This window comes from Homo sapiens, chromosome 10 (genome assembly GCF_000001405.40).
Source record: "Homo sapiens chromosome 10, GRCh38.p14 Primary Assembly".
Classification (NCBI taxonomy): Eukaryota; Metazoa; Chordata; class Mammalia; order Primates; family Hominidae; genus Homo; species Homo sapiens.
The window spans coordinates 46,507,737-46,525,650 of NC_000010.11; the positions used below are offsets into that span (position 1 = coordinate 46,507,737).

The window sequence follows — 17,914 nt, forward strand, 5'->3', positions numbered from 1 at the left end:
TTCTCAAAAACTTAAATATAGAATTATGGTATGATCAAGCAATTCCACTCCTAGGTATATACCCAGAAGAACTGACACTGACTACTCAAACAAGTACATGTATCTTTATAGCAGCACTATGAACAATAGCCAAAAGGTGGAAACAACCCAAATTTCCATAACAAATGAATGGATAAACAAATTGTGATATACAATGGAATAATAGCCATAAAAAGGAATGATGTACTGATACATGCTGGAACATGGATGAGCTACCAATTTACAGGAAACACAGAGGACAGGGGACATGTTGAATAGCACCATGAGAGTGCAGTCAGCAAAATCCAGACTATTGGAAACTCTACAGATCAAATGACCTGGGTCTTGGGAGGGGGTAGGAAAACCTGTGTATTAACCAACTTTTAAAAGATGTATTTTTATAAAATAAGTGAGATTTAATTATAGGGTGTAGGGATATACATGTGGGTAATAATTAGACTATGAAGCAAAGGAAAGGAGTGTCTACTGTAAGTCAAGGTAGTGGTGACTTTGGAGAAGAGAGTGAGGAGGTGCCTCTGGACAAAGTTCTGTTTCTTAGTCTAGGTGGTGGTTACAAAGCTTTACTCTTGTAAAAATCCATTAAGCCATGCATTTGTTTTATGTGGCTTCTTATAGCTTTGTTTATTTGCAAATAATAACCTGGTTCAGAGATTCTGATTCACAGGGTGTGGGGCAGAGTTCAGGAATGCTTTTAAATTTTCCCGTGTTGTGTGCGCACACACACACACGCATACATATATATCTGTCTTCCACACCAGGCTGGTGCCTGTTTGAGGAAGGTCTGTGGCTTGCCTCAATTTGGACTTCCCAACCTCCAGAACTATAAGAAATAAATTTCTGTTCTTTATGAATTACCCAGCCTCAGGTATTCTTTTATAGCAACACAAAACAAACCAAGACAGCTTCTATCTCTCTCCTACTGACCTATGAGCAGGGCATGCTTTGTTTCTGTCTTTGCATTCAGCACCTAGCACACAGTAAGTGCTCTGTAAATGCTGATGAGGCTGGGCTGATACACAGGTGGACTGACAGTGGGCATACCAGACAAGATCCAGTGGCCCCTGAAGCAGTCAACTCACCCACAGCAATGCTGGAGGGCTATGAACTTCCCAATCTCACTGAGGACCACAGGAGCATTCCACCTCTACTGGGCAGTAAAATCCAGAACGCCGGCTGCAGACATTCCACTTAGAGTCATGCCAACATCCTCTCTGGGCCCCACTAGCTTAAGACAGAGCCACAGACACAGGCGTCCAGAATTAAGAGTCCATCTCAGCCCTGAGGCTGATTTCTCACTACACACTGACCCTGAGAAAAACTTCAGGGACTGCAAAAGGCAGCCAGAAACACTGGGAGAAGGGAGGGAAGAAAGCGCCTCTGAAATAGACAGAAACACTAATGCACCACCAGTGCCTCTTTCAGACATAAGCCAGTCCAGCTCCCCATGGGCAGGCCCAGGATCACACAGGACACTACAAACCAGGTCTCTGCCCAAGAACCAGGCTGTAGGGGCCACCAGAGCCTCACTGGAACAGGTTAATGCAGAATACAGTCATGTACGTCCAAACGGAGCTACAGGCCTTCCCCGTTAAAGACAGTGCCCTCCCCGGGGTAGAAAGGAAAACAATACTCCTTATCAGCATGACCATTGTATGTTAAGTCTTGTGATGCATGTTTGCAAGTTACTCCAAGTAACTATGGATCTTGTCCCCAACTCAGGCCAGCCAGCTGACAGGCCCTGAAGTCAGCAGCTACAGTTGGCTGATTCTGAACCCAGTGATGCCTGCTGTTTGCAGGGAATGAGATACTTACTTAATTATCTCAAATTTAAACACTCTTATATGTTTCCTTAATTTAAAAACCATACACACACAGAAGTGAGGACATCTAAAAATGGGATCTGCGTTACTGATGTGTAAGCCAGAAAAAAAGAGGAGTTCTCAAATACACTCTGAGCTGGACTTCACAGCTACGCCAGTTCCTCAAGTGGTTCGTGGAGGTGAGCGGCAGATGCAGGCCAGTCTTAGAATGTGAAAAATCTGAGAGCTATAAGACAATTCAAAAACAGACAATAAGTCAAATCCCATTGAATTGTGTTATTTTAAATATAAAGAAAGAAATGTACAAACATTTAACAGAAAATTAGATTCCCCCTGTCCCCACAAATCAAATCCAAAATTACCCATGTGAAAACTTCACGGCATTATCCACTTTCCACCAAGGCCTCCACGTGCTCGTTCTCTGGCCAGGCCTTGGTAGTGTGGACTGGTCACCATGTAAGGACAGCCTTCTGTGAGCTGCAGACCAAGGGAGGTGGCCTGGCAGCCTGTTGGAGGCCAGGCAAGGATAAAATTTACTATCAATCCTTTTTTTTTTTTTTTTGAGATGGAGTCTTGCTCTGTTGCCCAGGCTGGAGTGCAGTGGTGTGATCTCGGCTCACTGCAACCTCTGCCTCCTGGGTCAAGCAATTCTCCTGCCTCAGCCTCCCAAGTAGCTGGGACTACAGGTGCATGCCACCACACCCAGCTAATTTTTGTGTATTTTTAGTAGAGACAGGGTTTCACCATGTTGGCCAGGATGGTCTCAATCTCTTGACCTCGTGATCTGCCCACCTTGGCCTCCCAAAGTGCTGGGATTACAGGCATGAGCCACCATGCCCAGCCATCAATCCCTTTTTATGTATAAGAAATAGGCTCAGAGAGGCCAGATGGCATGGCCCAGTTTGCACAGTAAGGTGATTGCCTGTCACGGCCAAATAGCCACCACGTCCGGATAATCCATGGCCACTGGTTTCTGTGAGGTGGTGGAGAGGCGGCCTCAGCCTGAGCCCTCTGGATCGTGGGCAACGGGTGGTGTGAGGAAACTGTCCAGCAGTGATCTACTGTCCCTGCACTCCCACACTGCAGGGCCAGGGGTGCATCTGCATCCCACGCGGGGAATGCCTGGGCATGAGGCTTCAAGAAGCACTTAGCAGGAATGCACCGGGTGCTCAGAGGAGCCGCTGTCCTGGCAGGCTTTGCTGTCCACATTTGCCCCTTTGCACGGAGCCTGCTGTCCCTGAAGTGCTCTGACCTGTCCACAGGAAACCAGGTCAGGCACAAAATAACCACCCTTGTCTCAAAGCAAGGGCCCTAATGCCTCCATTCCTTCAATGCCTTTTCCTTCAGCCAAGGTCCCCTGCAGTCTTGTCCTGGGCACTGAACTGGGTGCTGGGGATGGGCTGGATTATGAGGAAGGAAGGTCTCTGCTCTCAAGAAGAAGTGGGTCCCCCATCCTAGGGCAGAAGGCACTGCCATCCTGAGTCAGCTTATCGCAGCTCAGATTTCACTCCCTCTGTGCTGGGCCCTGGGAATGGGGAGATGACACTGCCATGGCCCTGCCCTCAGGGGCTCCCCATCACGTGGGGAAGCCAGACACAAAGGTAAATTTGGGAGGAAGCCCCCAATGCCTCATAAGCTATCAAAAACCAGAGTCCACAGCAATGGGAAAAACAAGGCAAGGAAGGTAACCTGCAAAGAAACGAGGGCTGGGGAGGCAACACGCAAACAGCCAGAGGAGACTGTGAGGAGGCCCCCCACAGACTCATCACCTCAAAGCGGAGCCCCAGGAATGAACAGTCAGCTCTAGGACGTGCTAAATGCCCCAGGAGAGGCACGAACCAGGGGACCACTGACACCACTCGGCCTTCGGAGGTGAGAGGCGGCTTCCCAGAGGAGGGCATATTGGCTGAGCAGGATTTCCTCAGGTAGACACAGGGGGAAACCAAGCATCGCAACTGAAGGCCAGGTAACACAGATCTGCCGAAAGAGACATCATGATTTTCAAACAAGCAAACGAAAGGGATTCATTCTATTCTGCAACTGTCAGGCATACTCAGACCAAGAGTAATCTTTCAAATAAACCCCAGAAAATGAAATCACGTATGCCATGTTCTAGCCCCGCAGTGGAAAGTGGTTTAGCCTCTGGTCCCGGAGTCTTGCCTGTCTCTTCTCCCACCCACCTCCCCTGCCTCTCTCCCCTTCCCAGCTGCCCAGAAGGTGACTAACTGCATGTCCACTTTTTTTTCTGCTGATTCTTCCCATTTCTGATATTAAGTAGCACTTTCTCTGCAAGCAAAGCTACACTGATATAATACAGATGAAACTGGGAAAGTCCAGGCTAAATTTCAGGATACGTATACAGAAATGCGTTGAGATACAGCACCTCACTCAGCAACCATGCCTTATAGATAGTGCTAAGCTTCAGTCGCATCACAGAACTTTCTACCCTGCATGAGTTCTCTGACCTGGCTGTGAGCTTCTTGTGGGTGGGGTCTCAGTCATTCCCAAGCAGCCAGATGTGTCTCAGTGCCTGGCATACAGAAGGCATATGATAAATGTTTGCTGAATGAGTAATTCACAAGTAGGTCCATTGTTATAAATGAATGTTTTGGAAACACAAGCTGTCACTGAGTTCCACGTGTCGTGTTCTGCTTTCGAATGACCTGCCCTGAATATATCTCACATGCAGTCTTGCATATGCCTGATTCAGACTTTTGCTCACAGCTACGGGGAGGTGTTGAGCTCTGCATGGGCCAGCAGATCCAGGCAGAAAGACTTCCATGTCTGTACAGCAGCATTTGTTCATTGCTCCAATGGTTTATTTTCCCCTGGTTTTATTAAAATAGTGAAAAACACTAAAGTGGAAGGGCTTACACTCAAGAGCAACACAATTGGAATGACAGCATGGGTTTTCAGGGGTGCCCAAAGAAGTCCTTCCCCTCTGTTGTATGTCCCTAGGTCTTAAGCCACTACACTGAATTCATGTGTGAAGGAAAGGAACAAAATTCAAGGGTGTGTATGAAATGCTAGCAATATAGCCTTGAATGCTGTACCTGGATGTAGAGCAGGAAGCAAGGCTTGTACCGTCTCTTCCTTACCTCTCTGAGAAGGGACCCCACCCCAAATTGATCTGCTCTGGCTCCGACACACCCCCTACATACGACCCACTCTGTGGAGGCAATAGGGAAGTCCTGCTCTGTGTCTGAAAATGTCAAAGACAGCTTATTCCTGGGAAGCCATCAAATACGCCCTGCTCTGCTGTATATATTATTCAAGTACTCAGTAAACCCTTTGTTTCTGGAGAGCAAAGGCCACTGGCAGCCCAACCTCTGCCCAGACAAGGAGGGGACAGGCAGGGAGCTGGCAAGGGCACACAGGATCATGGCCAGAGGGTGAGCTCAGTGCCCAGAATCTGTCCCCATAGGAGCACAGGGTCCCCAGGCTTTCAATTCTCCAGACTTCGTTTCCCAGCCTATAAAATGCGTACAAAACTGACATCCTCTCGGGATGTTAAGATTCGATGATATTACAAATGTGAAAGCACTTTGGAACCCATAAACTGCTGTATCAATACTGGTTGATCGTGCTCTTATTAAGATTATTCTATTAATAACCCATCTCAAATTACATATCTGTAGACAGTGCGTTTGTGCATCTATTGGGCCAGCTGCTCTCCAGGCCGGGAAGCCAGAAAGATCTCATGGAGGAGCTGGTCCTCCTACTTCCTTCCCTTGCTAAGGCCAAACCTGCCCGAATGAGCTTCATCTAGAGGGCACCTCTCAGGCTCAGCACCTGGAGCAGCCCTCCATGTGGACAGCCGGGCCTGTCCAGCCCAACCAGAGGGGGCCGTGGATTTTGTCCATGGCTGTTTCCCAGACTCCATGGCAGTGATTTAGATGCCCCTGCCCCCTGGCCGCACGCTGGAACATGTGCACCTGGTTTCTCCCGGCACTGACCTACTTATCCATCAGTTACTCAACTGTCTACTGACGTGTTTATTGAGCATGTCCCAAAGGCCAGGTACCAGACCACTTGCTGCATGTGACATGCAGACACATATGGAACCAGGCCAGCCCTTGAACAATCACGACAAGTGTCCCAAGTGCTACAAAAGAGAAGGAAGGGATGATGTTGCAGAAAGTGGGGAGGGAGGGGCAGTGCTAACCTGCTCTGGGGTCTCTCTCGAAATTTCCTTTTGTTTGTCCTGCTGACCTTTCTATGCATGCTTTTACTCTGAAGTCACACCTTTTCTTAACCTGTAGAAAATTCTCGGTCATGTCATTCTACCACTCCTTCTACTGTATCTTCTCTACCATTCTCTCCACATTTTCTCCTTCAGAACATTGGTTGTTAAAACTCAGCCATTTTTTAAGTTCTCTTCCATAGTTTCATCTCCTTCTATCTGTGAGCTGCTTTTAGTTTTCCATTCGCAAATTGTATCTTTGACTAGCTCATCTATTGATTTAATTATCATAGTTTTTATACCTAGATTTCTACTCAGTTTTTTTTCAGAGCCAATCTGTTCTTAATTTATACCTTCCTGGGTTTATTTTATAATTACTTTTTATGAATGCTATTTCTTCTTCTTTGTGGGTCTTAAGATGCTTAAGGCTTTTTGGTTTTGAGATTTTTCTCATATTTCCATTTATTTGGCAGTGAATTCATCTCCTATTATTAGTTTTGTAACCTTTCTTAGAATTAGTTTTTTCACATGCTTCAAAATGTTCGCTTGCAATAGGAATTCTGTGTTTTGTTCTTCCCACTGCATTAACCTCCCAGACCCACCCGCACCCTCCCAGGATTTTGTCATTGCTCCCATCTGGCCTTCTAGAGTACCCAGTCCCAAATGAGGCTTGCTCTGACAGCTCCGAGGTTCTGAAATGCCAAAACGGAGGAGTTAGCCAGTCCAGTCATTGGCCCAGGGCCTGGCCCAGGAACTACCTTTGAGCCTCCCTTTGCCCCCTTTTGCCCTCTTAGGCATGCAGGTCTTGCTAGCCTTAGCCCTGGTAGCAGTTCCAGTATTTTGCAGCCACCTGTCACAGGTGGCTGGATCTGCCCTCGCTCCCAGTTCCCATAGCCCCTGACGCAAGTGAGATGCTTTGGGCTCTCAGGTCCTTTGCCCATGTCAGAGCCCAGAGGTGTGGTCTCACTATGCTGTGGAACCCCAGCTGACAGAACCACTCACTGCCCAGGGATCCTCAGGGAGGTTGAGAAGGGAAAGCAGATTGCTTTAAAGGCCGCCGTTATAAAGCCATAGCCAAAGCAGCTGTGGCCTGTGAAATGGACCTACGAGAAACACAGCAAGAGAGAAGGTGTGAAAACCAGGAGCGCCTCTCAGTCCCTGCATGAGGAAGCAATGTGACTGTTTGATGGCCCTGAGTTATGTGGGGGTCATACAGGCCCCTTAGCTATATCATCATTCCAACAGCACAAAGACATGAAAAAACCTACAGTTTGCAAGCAGCTGCCCCAGAGACAGACTGGCAACACCATGAGGCCAAATCATACAATTGCACAGAGAAGGCAGCCCTTCTGTGTGCCTGTGCAGCCTTCCTCCCTCAACTGGCATTGCACCTAGGGCAGGCCCTATGTCCAAAGTGAGCAGTGATATCAGGGTTACTTGCCCAGGTCACTGACCAGTAAACGACATGTATGTGTCACCGGTCAGTTGCTATTGGTATAAACACTTCTTCTGTAATATATATGGCCTAGTATCCATTTGGGATGGTTCCAAACCATAAGTTGGGGTTCTCCAGGTTTGGAATGGTGCATTTCAGAAGGTAAAAATACCAGAAATTAGACTACAAGAAAATGATGTGTTAGAGAGGAGTGTGGGGTAAGGAGACTAACAGCAGAGAGGCAGGCAAGATTCAACATTTTGAGATTTATTTTGTGTTATTGGCAAGCCTTCATAGGCTTTTTAGCAGGGTACTAACAAGGAAATATTTAGGAAGAAAACTGGTAGCCACATGGATGAGCTGTTGGAGAGAAAGAGACTAGAGACAGTGTCTGGAGTCAGGCCAGCCCCAGGTTCCAGTTTTATACTCCTCTGTAGGTGCTTTTGTTCCAACCTTGGTCCAGATTCACTCCTAAATTCATCAGGGTTTCCACTCCTTGAAGTCAAAGAGGTCTAATGAACACAGCACTTTATGCATATTACCTTTCTCAGCCATCAAATCATTACAAATTAGAACTTGGAACTGGAGAGAGCAAGTTACTTGCCTAAGGACACAGCTATTAGACAGGTGTATGGGCTTCCCAAGTGATGCACCAATCCTCCCTCTCCCCAAGCAGGATGCAGAGGGCAGCAAGGGAGGGGTTCCAAATGGGTGATGTGGTGCTCTCGCAGCAACCCAAGGCTCAGGTTCAGCTCTAGCCCTCAGTACTGAGCTAAAACTGGCCAGGTGCAGTGGCTCATGCTTGTAATCCCGTCACTTTGGGAGGCCGAGTTGGGCAGATCACTTAAAGGTCAGGAATTTGAGACCAGCCTGGCCAACATGGTAAAACCCCATCTCTACTAAAAATACAAAAAAAAAATTAGCCAGGTGTGGTGGTGTGCACCCATAGTCCCAGCTACTCAGGAGGCTGAGGTGGGAGAATTGCTTGAACCTGGGAGGCGGAGGTTGCAGTGAGCCAAGATCACACCACTGCACTCCAGCCTAGGCAACAAAGTGAGACCTTGTCTCAAAAAAAAAAAAAAAAAAAAAAAGAAAAGAAAATAAAAAGAAAAAAGACAGTACTGAGCTAAAACTGAAGACAGTTAGGGAGGCCCTGGTCATCCTCTCACCCCTTCTCCCTTCATGTCCATTCACCCCCAGCCCCAAGCCCAGCCAGTGGTCACTGGGGCCACACGTCCCCATCTTTGTGCTTTGCACATGGGTCCTCTGACCCAGCTGCCTCCCACCTGGATCTGCCTGAAGAACTCTTCAATATACAGCTTCTGTTATCAGACGCTCATTTCGGGGGGACAGCTGCCACAAGTGTGGCCTCTGCAGCCAGAGATCCAAGTTCAAATCCTGATTCTGCCTCTAGTGAGCTGTGTGATCACAGTCAAGTTATTTCACTTCTCTGAATCTCAGCTTTTCATCTGCAAAAGCTGTCCCAAGGTCATTTTAATAAATGCATACAATAGCTGCTGCGAAGCGCTCAGTATTGCTGAGAACTACTGGCGTCTATAAAGTTCTGAGTCAGGGTTAACAGCTGTGGCATGTATGGTAATTGTTTGCTTGCGAATCATCCTTCCCCTCAGCTGCCTGTGAGTTCCTCAGGGAGAGGAGCCATCTTTGATTCAGGGCTATGTTCCAGTGCCTGAAATAAGGCATACCTCGGAAATGCTTGTTAAACAAAGGAAGGAACGTGAGAGTGAATGATGACAACTCTCTTTGCCAAACATTCTACCAGTGACTCCTTTGCGAAAACTGGCTGCAGGATGGTGATTTTGATTTGCTGTAAACCTAGTGCCAATTGCTTCCATCTGAGCTTTAGATAGGTGAAGAGCCTCCCCTCGCCCCGGGAGTGTCACATCTATAGCCAGGGCACCGTGGATAATCCATTAACACGGATTCCCTCTCTGCAGCCTCAATGACCCTGTCAGTTCCCAGCTGCTAAGAGGTTGCCTCAGCCATGACCTGGGACCATGACCATCATACCTGATTCACCTGGACCTCCCACTTGGACACCCTACCTGGACACCCCACCTGGGAATCCTACCTGGACATCCCACCTGGACATTCCACCTGGACATCCCACCTGGACATCCCACCTGAACATCACAGCTTTTGCCTTCCTGGCTTCAGAAAACCTAAAGCCAAGCCTGGCCACACCCTGGGAGTAGCAGAGCTTTGGCCTCACAGAAGCAGCAGATGTGGAGCCAAACTTTACTGTGGCCTGAGGACCTGGCTTTGAACCTAGCTCTGCTAACTGACTTTATCACCTTGGGCAACTTACTTAGCCTTTGGGGACTTGATGTCCATTTATCTAAAATGGAAATAGTGCTAGCTATCGCTTCTTGAGCACTCATCAAATTGACAGGGAAAGGCCTCATTGTTATTTCTATTCAGCATCGCCTTCTCAGGAGCATGGGTCCAGGTTTCTGGAGGATACCTGAGGACCAGGAGCCCTGATGTGTGGGCCGCACGCCCACGTCCCTGCCCAGACAGGCCTCCCCTCACATTGCAATTTCAGTCCTTGGCTGAAATTCAGTCCCTTGGCTATTATACTGCTCCCAGGTGGGGAGGAGTTGAGAGTTAGAGACAGGAAAGACCAAGAAGAGGAAGGTGGGAGAAGACTCCTCTCTGTGTTTATAAAAATGCTTTTGGATGCCTGCTAGCATCAGAAAGATTTTAGCTGCCAATTAACAAACAGTGGCCACAGCTGAAGGTGACAAGATGTTCCTTGCATCTTAAGCTGATGCTACTGTTTGCAAGACATGAGCCTTACATTATGTCAAAAGGTGTTTACTGAATGAATGGATGAATGGATCCATCAGCTCACAGGATTAATTAAGATTTTCATCATCTGAATGTGAAATTATGTCCATGTGCAGAGCCTCCATTCCTGCCCAGCGGCTTCATCACAGCCAGGTCCCTGTCTCTCCTGGGTCCCCTCAATGGCTCTCCTTCCTCCCAGGTGTCTGGGGAAGGACAGCAGCAGTAATCCAGGGACAGCCTTTATAGCGGATGAAGCACTCTGCCAGACACCGCTGCCCTATCTCTATAGGATTCTCATCTCCACTGGGAGAAAAATACTTACTATTATAAGCTGCCTCAAATTATTTCCAACACCACTAAGGAACTCATGGTAAAATATAAACTCAATAAAGAGCTGGGTATGGCTCTTACCCTGAGGATAGGGTGCAGCTGCGAGCTGACTGTTCTGAGCTCTGCCTTAGAACAGAGTGGCAGTGTTTCCTAGTGCCCAGGTGACTCTCTCTGCTGGGCCTGCTGTGGCTCAGCCCTAGATCCAACAAAGAGAGGGCAGGAGCACAGCCTAGGCCTTCTTCTGGCATCCCAGCTCACTGTGGGTTGCAACTCACCAGTGGGTGTGAAATCCATCACGACTGAGACCAGTAAGTTTTTAATGAAATGAAATACAAAAAAAAAAAAAGTTAGAGTTTGTATATGCGTGCATACTGTGTCACACCGTAATTTGTTTTTTTTTTGTTGTTGTTTTTTAATTTTATTATTATTATACTTTAAGTTTTAGGATACATGTGCACAACGTGCAGGTTTGTTACATATGTATACATGTGCCATGTTGGTGTGCTGCACCCATTAACTCGTCATTTAGCATTAGGTATATCTCCTAATGCTATCCCTCCCCCCACCCCACAGCAGTCCCCAGTGTGTGATGTTCCCCTTCCTGTGTCCAACTGTTCGCACTGTTCAATTCCCACCTATGAGTGAGAACATGCGGTGTTTGGTTTTTTGTCCTTGCAATAGTTTGCTGAGAATGATGGTTTCCAGCTTCATCCATGTCCCTACAAAGGACATGAACTCATCATTTTTTATGGCTGCATAGTATCCCATGGTGTATATGTGCCACATTTTCTTAATCCAGTCTATCATTGTTGTACATTTGGGTTGGTTCCAAGTCTTTGCTATTGTGAATAGTGCCGCAATAAGCATACATGTGCATGTGTCTTTATAGCAGCATGATTTATAATCCTTTGGGTATATAGCCAGTAATGGGATGGCTGGGTCAAATGGTATTTCCAGTTCTAGATTCCTGAGGAATCGCCACACTGACTTCCACAAGGGTTGAACTAGTTTACAGTCCCACCAACAGTGTAAAAGTGTTCCTATTTCTCCACAACCTCTCCAGCACCTGTTGTCTCCTGACTTTTTAATGATCGCCATTCTAACTGGTGTGAGATGGTATCTCATTGTGGTTTTGATTTGCATTTCTCTGATGGCCAGTGATGATGAGCATTTTTTCATGTGTTTTTTGGCTGCATAAATGTCTTCTTTTGAGAAGTGTCTGTTCATATCCTTCGCCCACTTTTTGATGGGGTTGTTTGTTTTTTCTTGTAAATTTGTTTGAGTCATAATTTGTTTTTTGTTGTTGTTTTGCTATTTTTTGAGACAGAGTCTCTGTTGCCCAGGCTGGAGTGCAATGGCACAATCTCAGCTCACTGCAACTTCTGCCTCCCAGGTTCAAGTGATTGTCCTGCCTCAGTCACCCGAGTAGCTGGGATTAGAGGCACCCACCACCACACCCAGCTAATTTTTGTATTTTTAGTGGAGATGGGGTTTCACCATGTTGGTGAGACGAGTCTCAAACTCCTGACCTCAGGTGATCCACCCGCCTCAGCCTCCCAAAGTGCTGGGATTACAGGCGTGAGCCGCCATGCCTGACAGGTAATTTGTATTTCTAACTGTAGATTGTAGTCAAAGTTTGAACGGGTCAGCCATGCGCACAATGCCAGCCTGCCTACAAATGTAGACTGGGGCCTTTGACTCATGCCTGTAATCACAATATTTTGGGATGTCGAGGCAGGCAGATCACCTGAGGTCAGGAGTTCAAGACCAGTCTGGCCAACATGGTGAAACCCCATCTCTACTAAAAGTACACAAATTAGCTGGATGTGTTGGTCCACACCAGTAATCCCAGCTACTCAAAGGCTGAGGCACAAGAATCACTTGAACCCGGGAGGTGGAGGTTGCAGTGAATCAAGATCATGCCATTGCACTGCAGCCTGGGCGACAGTGTGAGACTCTGTCCCAAAAAAAAGAAAAAAAAAGAGTAGGTTGGGAAGCCAGTAACTAGGAACAGGCTCCATTTAATCCATCACAAAAAGAGGATTTGAGCAGAGAAGGCAAAGACAAACCCTTGGGCAGGCAGCATCTGCTCTGCTGGACAAGCTGTTTTCAACCATACCTAATGATGGAAGCAGGGACTACATTGTCCAAAGCAAGGATCTTGGGACCCAGTGGGGGCTCAACGCAGCAAAGGGCTGCTGATATGCTCATCTAAGATCCTGATGGGTGCCCGTTTCTTACAGAACTGTGTGCTCACAGCTGTGCTCAGTGGGCCACATGGTCCTGCCCGTCTGGCCAGCCCATCTTGGTTCCACTGTGTTCCTGGAGTCCTTACTGCTAGGCTCTGGCTGATGCTAGCCCCTGTGATGGGCTGCCCGCCCCACATTTCCCCTGGCTGGTCTCCACTCTCTCGGCTACTCCCTGCTCTGTCCCATAAAAGCACTCAAGGCAGCCTTCTCATCTAGATCATTCTTTAGGCCTGGAGTTCTTTAATCTGAGGGCTTTTGCACACCCTGAATTGGATGCAAAAGGGGGTATTTGTCCCATGTGTGTTTTTCTGGGAAAAGGACTCACAATTTTACCAGACTCTCAAAAGCATCTGTGCCCTCAGCAAAAGCCCCAAGCCCTGCCTCAGGAAGCCTGATCTGCTCAGGCTGGGTGACTATCTGTCCGTGTCTGTCCCCCCCAAAGTGGCGTTCAGCAACTGATGCTGGGGCAAACTGCCCTGCCATCTGCCAGAATGTAAAGCATCAGCTGTGTGGAGGATGGGCGGGGGGCTGGACCCCAGCCAGGCCCTTTCAAAGGCACTAGGGGTTTGGCTCTAGCATGCATCCCTGTTGTGGGTGGCAAAAACCACTACCGGGAGTCAGGCTGAGCTGGCTTAAATCCCAGTTCTGTCTCTGGCTCATTCTGCCTCCATAGGCACCTGTTTAACCTCTGTGAGGCTCTGATTTCTCATCTAGAAAATGCCGATAAGAAGATGTACCTTCCAGGATTATTGTGGCAATTAAATGAGATACTGTAAGAACAGCCACTTTACCGCCTATAAATGCTATTTTTTTTAATTGACTCAGTGAAAAACATTTTACCATTTTAAATACCCTCAACCCCTGAAGCACTGCAGCTCTTAGCTCTATGACCTCAGGAAAATTACTTATTTCTGTCAACTGTCCTACTTCTGACAAATGGGGATGGCTTCATGTTGGTGTTCGCAAGATGACAAGTCAACACGTAGGAAGCACTTGAAGCAGGGCCTGGGTCCTTGTACAGTCTTGCACTGTTATTTCTGCAAGAAAGGAGTGGCAGGTGAAGAGTCCCTCCCTTAGACTGTGCCTAGGAGCAAAATTGCCATTTCTGTCTGTCTTAGTCCATTTTTTGTTGCTATAAAGGAATACCTGAGGCTGAATACTTTATAAACAAAGGAGGTTTCTTTGGCTCACAGTTCTGCTGGGTGGAAGGTTCAAGACTGGGCCTCTGGTGAGGGCCTCAGGCTGCTTCCACTCATGGCAGAAGGTGAGGGGGAGCCGGTGTGTGTAGAGATTGCATGGTGAGAGAGGAAACAAGAGGGAAAGAGAGTGGTGCCTAGCTCTTTAACACCAGCTCTCACAGGAGCTAATAGAGTGAGAACTCACTCACTACCTCTAGGACAGCACCAAGCCATTCATGAGGAACTTGGCCCCATGACCCAAGCACCTCTCAATTAGGCCCCACCTCCAACAGTAGGGTTCAGTTGTTCTTCCTGCCTCCTGAGATGGAGTCTTGCTCTGTCGCCAGGCTGGAGTGCAGTGGCGTGATCTTGGCTCACTGTAACCTCCGCCTCCCGGGTTCAAGCGATTCTTCTGCCTCAGCCTCCCGAGTAGCTGGGACTACAGGCATGTGCTACCACGGCTGGCTAATTTTTGTATTTTCAGTAGAGACGGGGTTTCACCATGTTGGCCAGGATGGCCTCGATCTTCTGACCTCGTGATCCGCCCACCTCAGCCTCCCAAAGTCCTGGGATTACAGACATAAGCTATTGCGCCTGGCCTAGGGGTTCACATTTCAACATGAGGTTTGAGGGGACAGACATTCAAACTATAGCACTCTCTCTCCTTGCCTCTCCTTGCCGATGGGCCACCAGAAATCTCTCTTCCCTTCTTCACCAAACACTGCTCCACCTAGACAGTGGTGCAGTTGCCAGAAGGCACATGTTGCCTAGCACAGAACCTCCCATTCTGTCCGTTTTATTGGCACTGTGGGCTCAAATGCTAATGAAACACATGGCAAGACCTCGAATTCAGTCCCCATTTGGTTGGTGAGGAAGAGGCCCTACTCACTGACTTTGCATTCATCACCTCTGACCCCATCACGACCTCTGAGACAGAGCCAAGAAGCCCATTTTATAGATGAAGAAACCAAGCCTGAGTGGGGTAAGCACTTGCCCAAGGTTACACAGCTGGCAAAGGGCAGTGAGGTCTGCCTAGACCTCACTTGCTCCTCCATGCCATGAAGCTCTCTTATTCACCTCTTTGTTAGCAAATGTCTTAAAAGCATTTGAAGTGCCTGAAATGTCAAAATCCAGCTGGCATCCCCATTAGGGAGGGCTCATCCACTGAGTGGACAGATTATGGTGACAGGTACCTGCCCCGGTCTTCCCACACACCCCAGCAAGGGGTCATATGTACTCTCTTCCACAGATTGCACCTCCCGAGTTTTCTCTCTCTCACACCTCCCTTCTCACCACCATACCCTTGACCCAGTAATTTCTCAGACCCTACATGTCTCCACCAGCCCACGTGCCCATTAGACTCAAGGAGAGGAAACGGCAGAGGTTCAACCTAGCAAGCCCAAGCTCTGGGTTTTCTGGCTTTCCCTGAGTGATTGTGGCAGGGGGTGGGTCACTGAAGGTTATCAGCATATCACTGGCTTGACCCTGGGTGGGAGGCAGGGAGGGCTTCCCGCTTTGAGGCGCCCCACCCCCACCCCTGTGAACAGGGTAATTATGGATAGACTGGGCTGAGTGATGGCCTGGGGTCTCGGGCATCTGCAGGCTGCCCCCAGGCTGAAGCATGCCTGCCAGTGGCTTTTAGGCCCATATGAGCTGGAGGGTCCTTCCTTCCTTCCCAGGCTCACAGAACCCCTGTGGGGCTGCTGTGAGTCCTGTGAGGCCACCCACTAAGCTGCCACCCCAGCCAGGCAGCCTTGGTAGGAACAGCCCAGACCAAAGGGAGATTGGAGCCAGGAAATTCCACGGTGGTGGGACTGGCCTGCTGTATGCACAGATTCAGGCTCTAGGAGGCCCTGGGAAGGGAAGGGCCCTGCCCACACCCACAGTCCCTCAGGGCACCCCCTGGCTAGGCTTGTGTTTCCCCCCTAAGAAGACCTTTACAGAGCCCAGGCTGGAGTCCTGGACGTGGGTGCAGGAAGGGAACTCAGAGCTTCCAGGCGGGGCTGGCAGCCACACCTCTGCTGCTCCTCTGCCAGGCCCTGGCATGGCAGAGCCAGCCTGGGCGGGGAACGGCAAGAGGAGCAGGAAGCAGAGAGAGGGTTTCTGTGGGGGTGTAACCGCCCAAGGGGTTCTCCTCACCTGCTGCCCAGATAGCCGATTTATCATGACAGGAGAATTGTAATAGAGAAAGACTAATTCATGCAGAGCCAGCTGTATGAGAGACCAGAGTTTTATGATTACTCAAATTTTTAAGTCTCCCTGAAAATTCTGAGACTCAGGTTTTTAAGGATAATTTGGTGGGTAGGGAGTCGGAAAGTGGGGAGTGCTGATTGGTGGAGTCAGAAATAAAATCATAGAGTGTCAAAGTGGGATTATTTTGCTGTCTTCATTCGGTTCCTGGGTGGCATCGCAGAACTGGTTGAGCCAGAGTACCGGTCTGGGTGCCTGCTGGTGCATTGGAACACAGGGTCTGCAAAATAGCTCTAGCATTAATCTGAGTTTTTACAACAGTGACGTTAGCCCCAGGAGCAGTTTGGGGAGGTTCCAAATCTTGCAGCCCCTGGCTGCGTGACTCCTAAACCGTAATTTCTAATATTGTGACTAATTTGTTAGTCCTTCAAAGGCAGACTGGTCCCCAGGCAAGAAGCCAAGAAGCGGGGTTGTTTCAGGAAAGGGCTCTTATCATTTTTGTTGCAAAGTAAAACTATAAACTAAATTTCTCCCAAAATTAGTTCTACCTACCCCCAGGAATGAACAAGGATCGCTTGGAGGTTAGAAGCAAGATGGAGTCCGTTAGGTCGGATCTCTTTCACTGCCATCATTTTCTCACTGTTATAATTTTTGCAAAGTCATTTTCAGGGGGAGGAGGAGTTTCAGTGCTGGGGCTTGGAATGGCCTGGCATCCTGCCCCAAGGAGCCCAGGAACCCACCTCGGGCTGCAATGGGATCAGAGCTGGTTCAGGGGTAAGGGTCATGTCCAGAACACCCTGGGACTGGCATGGAAAGCCCTGGAGGAATGGCAGCAAGGGCCATGCGTCAGAGGCCCATATCTGGCCACCCATTTTACTCAACATGGGGCCAGAGTCCTGAGGGCAGTGACTTGCTAAGACCACACAGAAAGAATGGGGGTGAGTGGGAGGAGTAGTGTCTTCCAGATTGAGCCTGCGGACCAGAGGCAGCCTGAGGGTGTGAAAGGGCCGTGGCCAAAGAGCACTAACCCTGCTCAAAGGTGGCCCTCTTTGGGCCGGGTCTCACCAGCAGCCAGTGAGCGCTGTGGTTTCCAAGCAAGCTATTCGGAGTGCAAGCCGTCTGAGGAGGCCCCACATCCAAACACAGACACAGGCATGAGCGCGTGTGTGCATTCACACACACACATGAGCACGCCCATGCACACCCCGCACCATGCACACACACATACACACATTTCAACCAGAAGAATTTCTCTTTTCTCTCTTCTGTATCAGATTTTGATGACTGAAGCCAATAAAATTGCTTTTTTAAAAAGGCAGTGGCCACAGAAGAATGGGCACCTTTGGGAGTCAGAAGCCACTGCAACTCCATGTCAGGGCACTTACAGCTCTAAGATTGCTGAGGTCAGGAAGTGGCGAGCCGGGTTCACATACCACACACATAACTCACACCCTCTATACTACACATACCCCACACACAAACACACATCACACACACAACCACACACAATACATACACCCCACACACACACATCACACACACAGCCACACATATCACACACAACCACACACATCACATACACATAATTGCACATGATACACACACCCCACACACAAACACACACATCGCACACACAACCACACATGCCACACACACAACCACACACATCGCATACACAC

The 17,914-nt window shown here is 48.6% G+C and overlaps 2 annotated features.

Annotated features, from left to right (window-relative positions):
- Positions 7,049-7,548: an enhancer, noted in NCBI's record as "H3K27ac hESC enhancer chr10:47047925-47048424 (GRCh37/hg19 assembly coordinates)". NCBI's record gives its function as "activates a minimal SCP1, AML or CMV promoter by ChIP-STARR-seq in primed H9 embryonic stem cells {active_cell/tissue: H9 hESC(primed)}" and the evidence as "EXISTENCE:reporter gene assay evidence [ECO:0000049][PMID:30033119]".
- Positions 16,652-17,248: an enhancer, noted in NCBI's record as "H3K27ac-H3K4me1 hESC enhancer chr10:47057528-47058124 (GRCh37/hg19 assembly coordinates)". NCBI's record gives its function as "activates a minimal SCP1, AML or CMV promoter by ChIP-STARR-seq in primed H9 embryonic stem cells {active_cell/tissue: H9 hESC(primed)}" and the evidence as "EXISTENCE:reporter gene assay evidence [ECO:0000049][PMID:30033119]".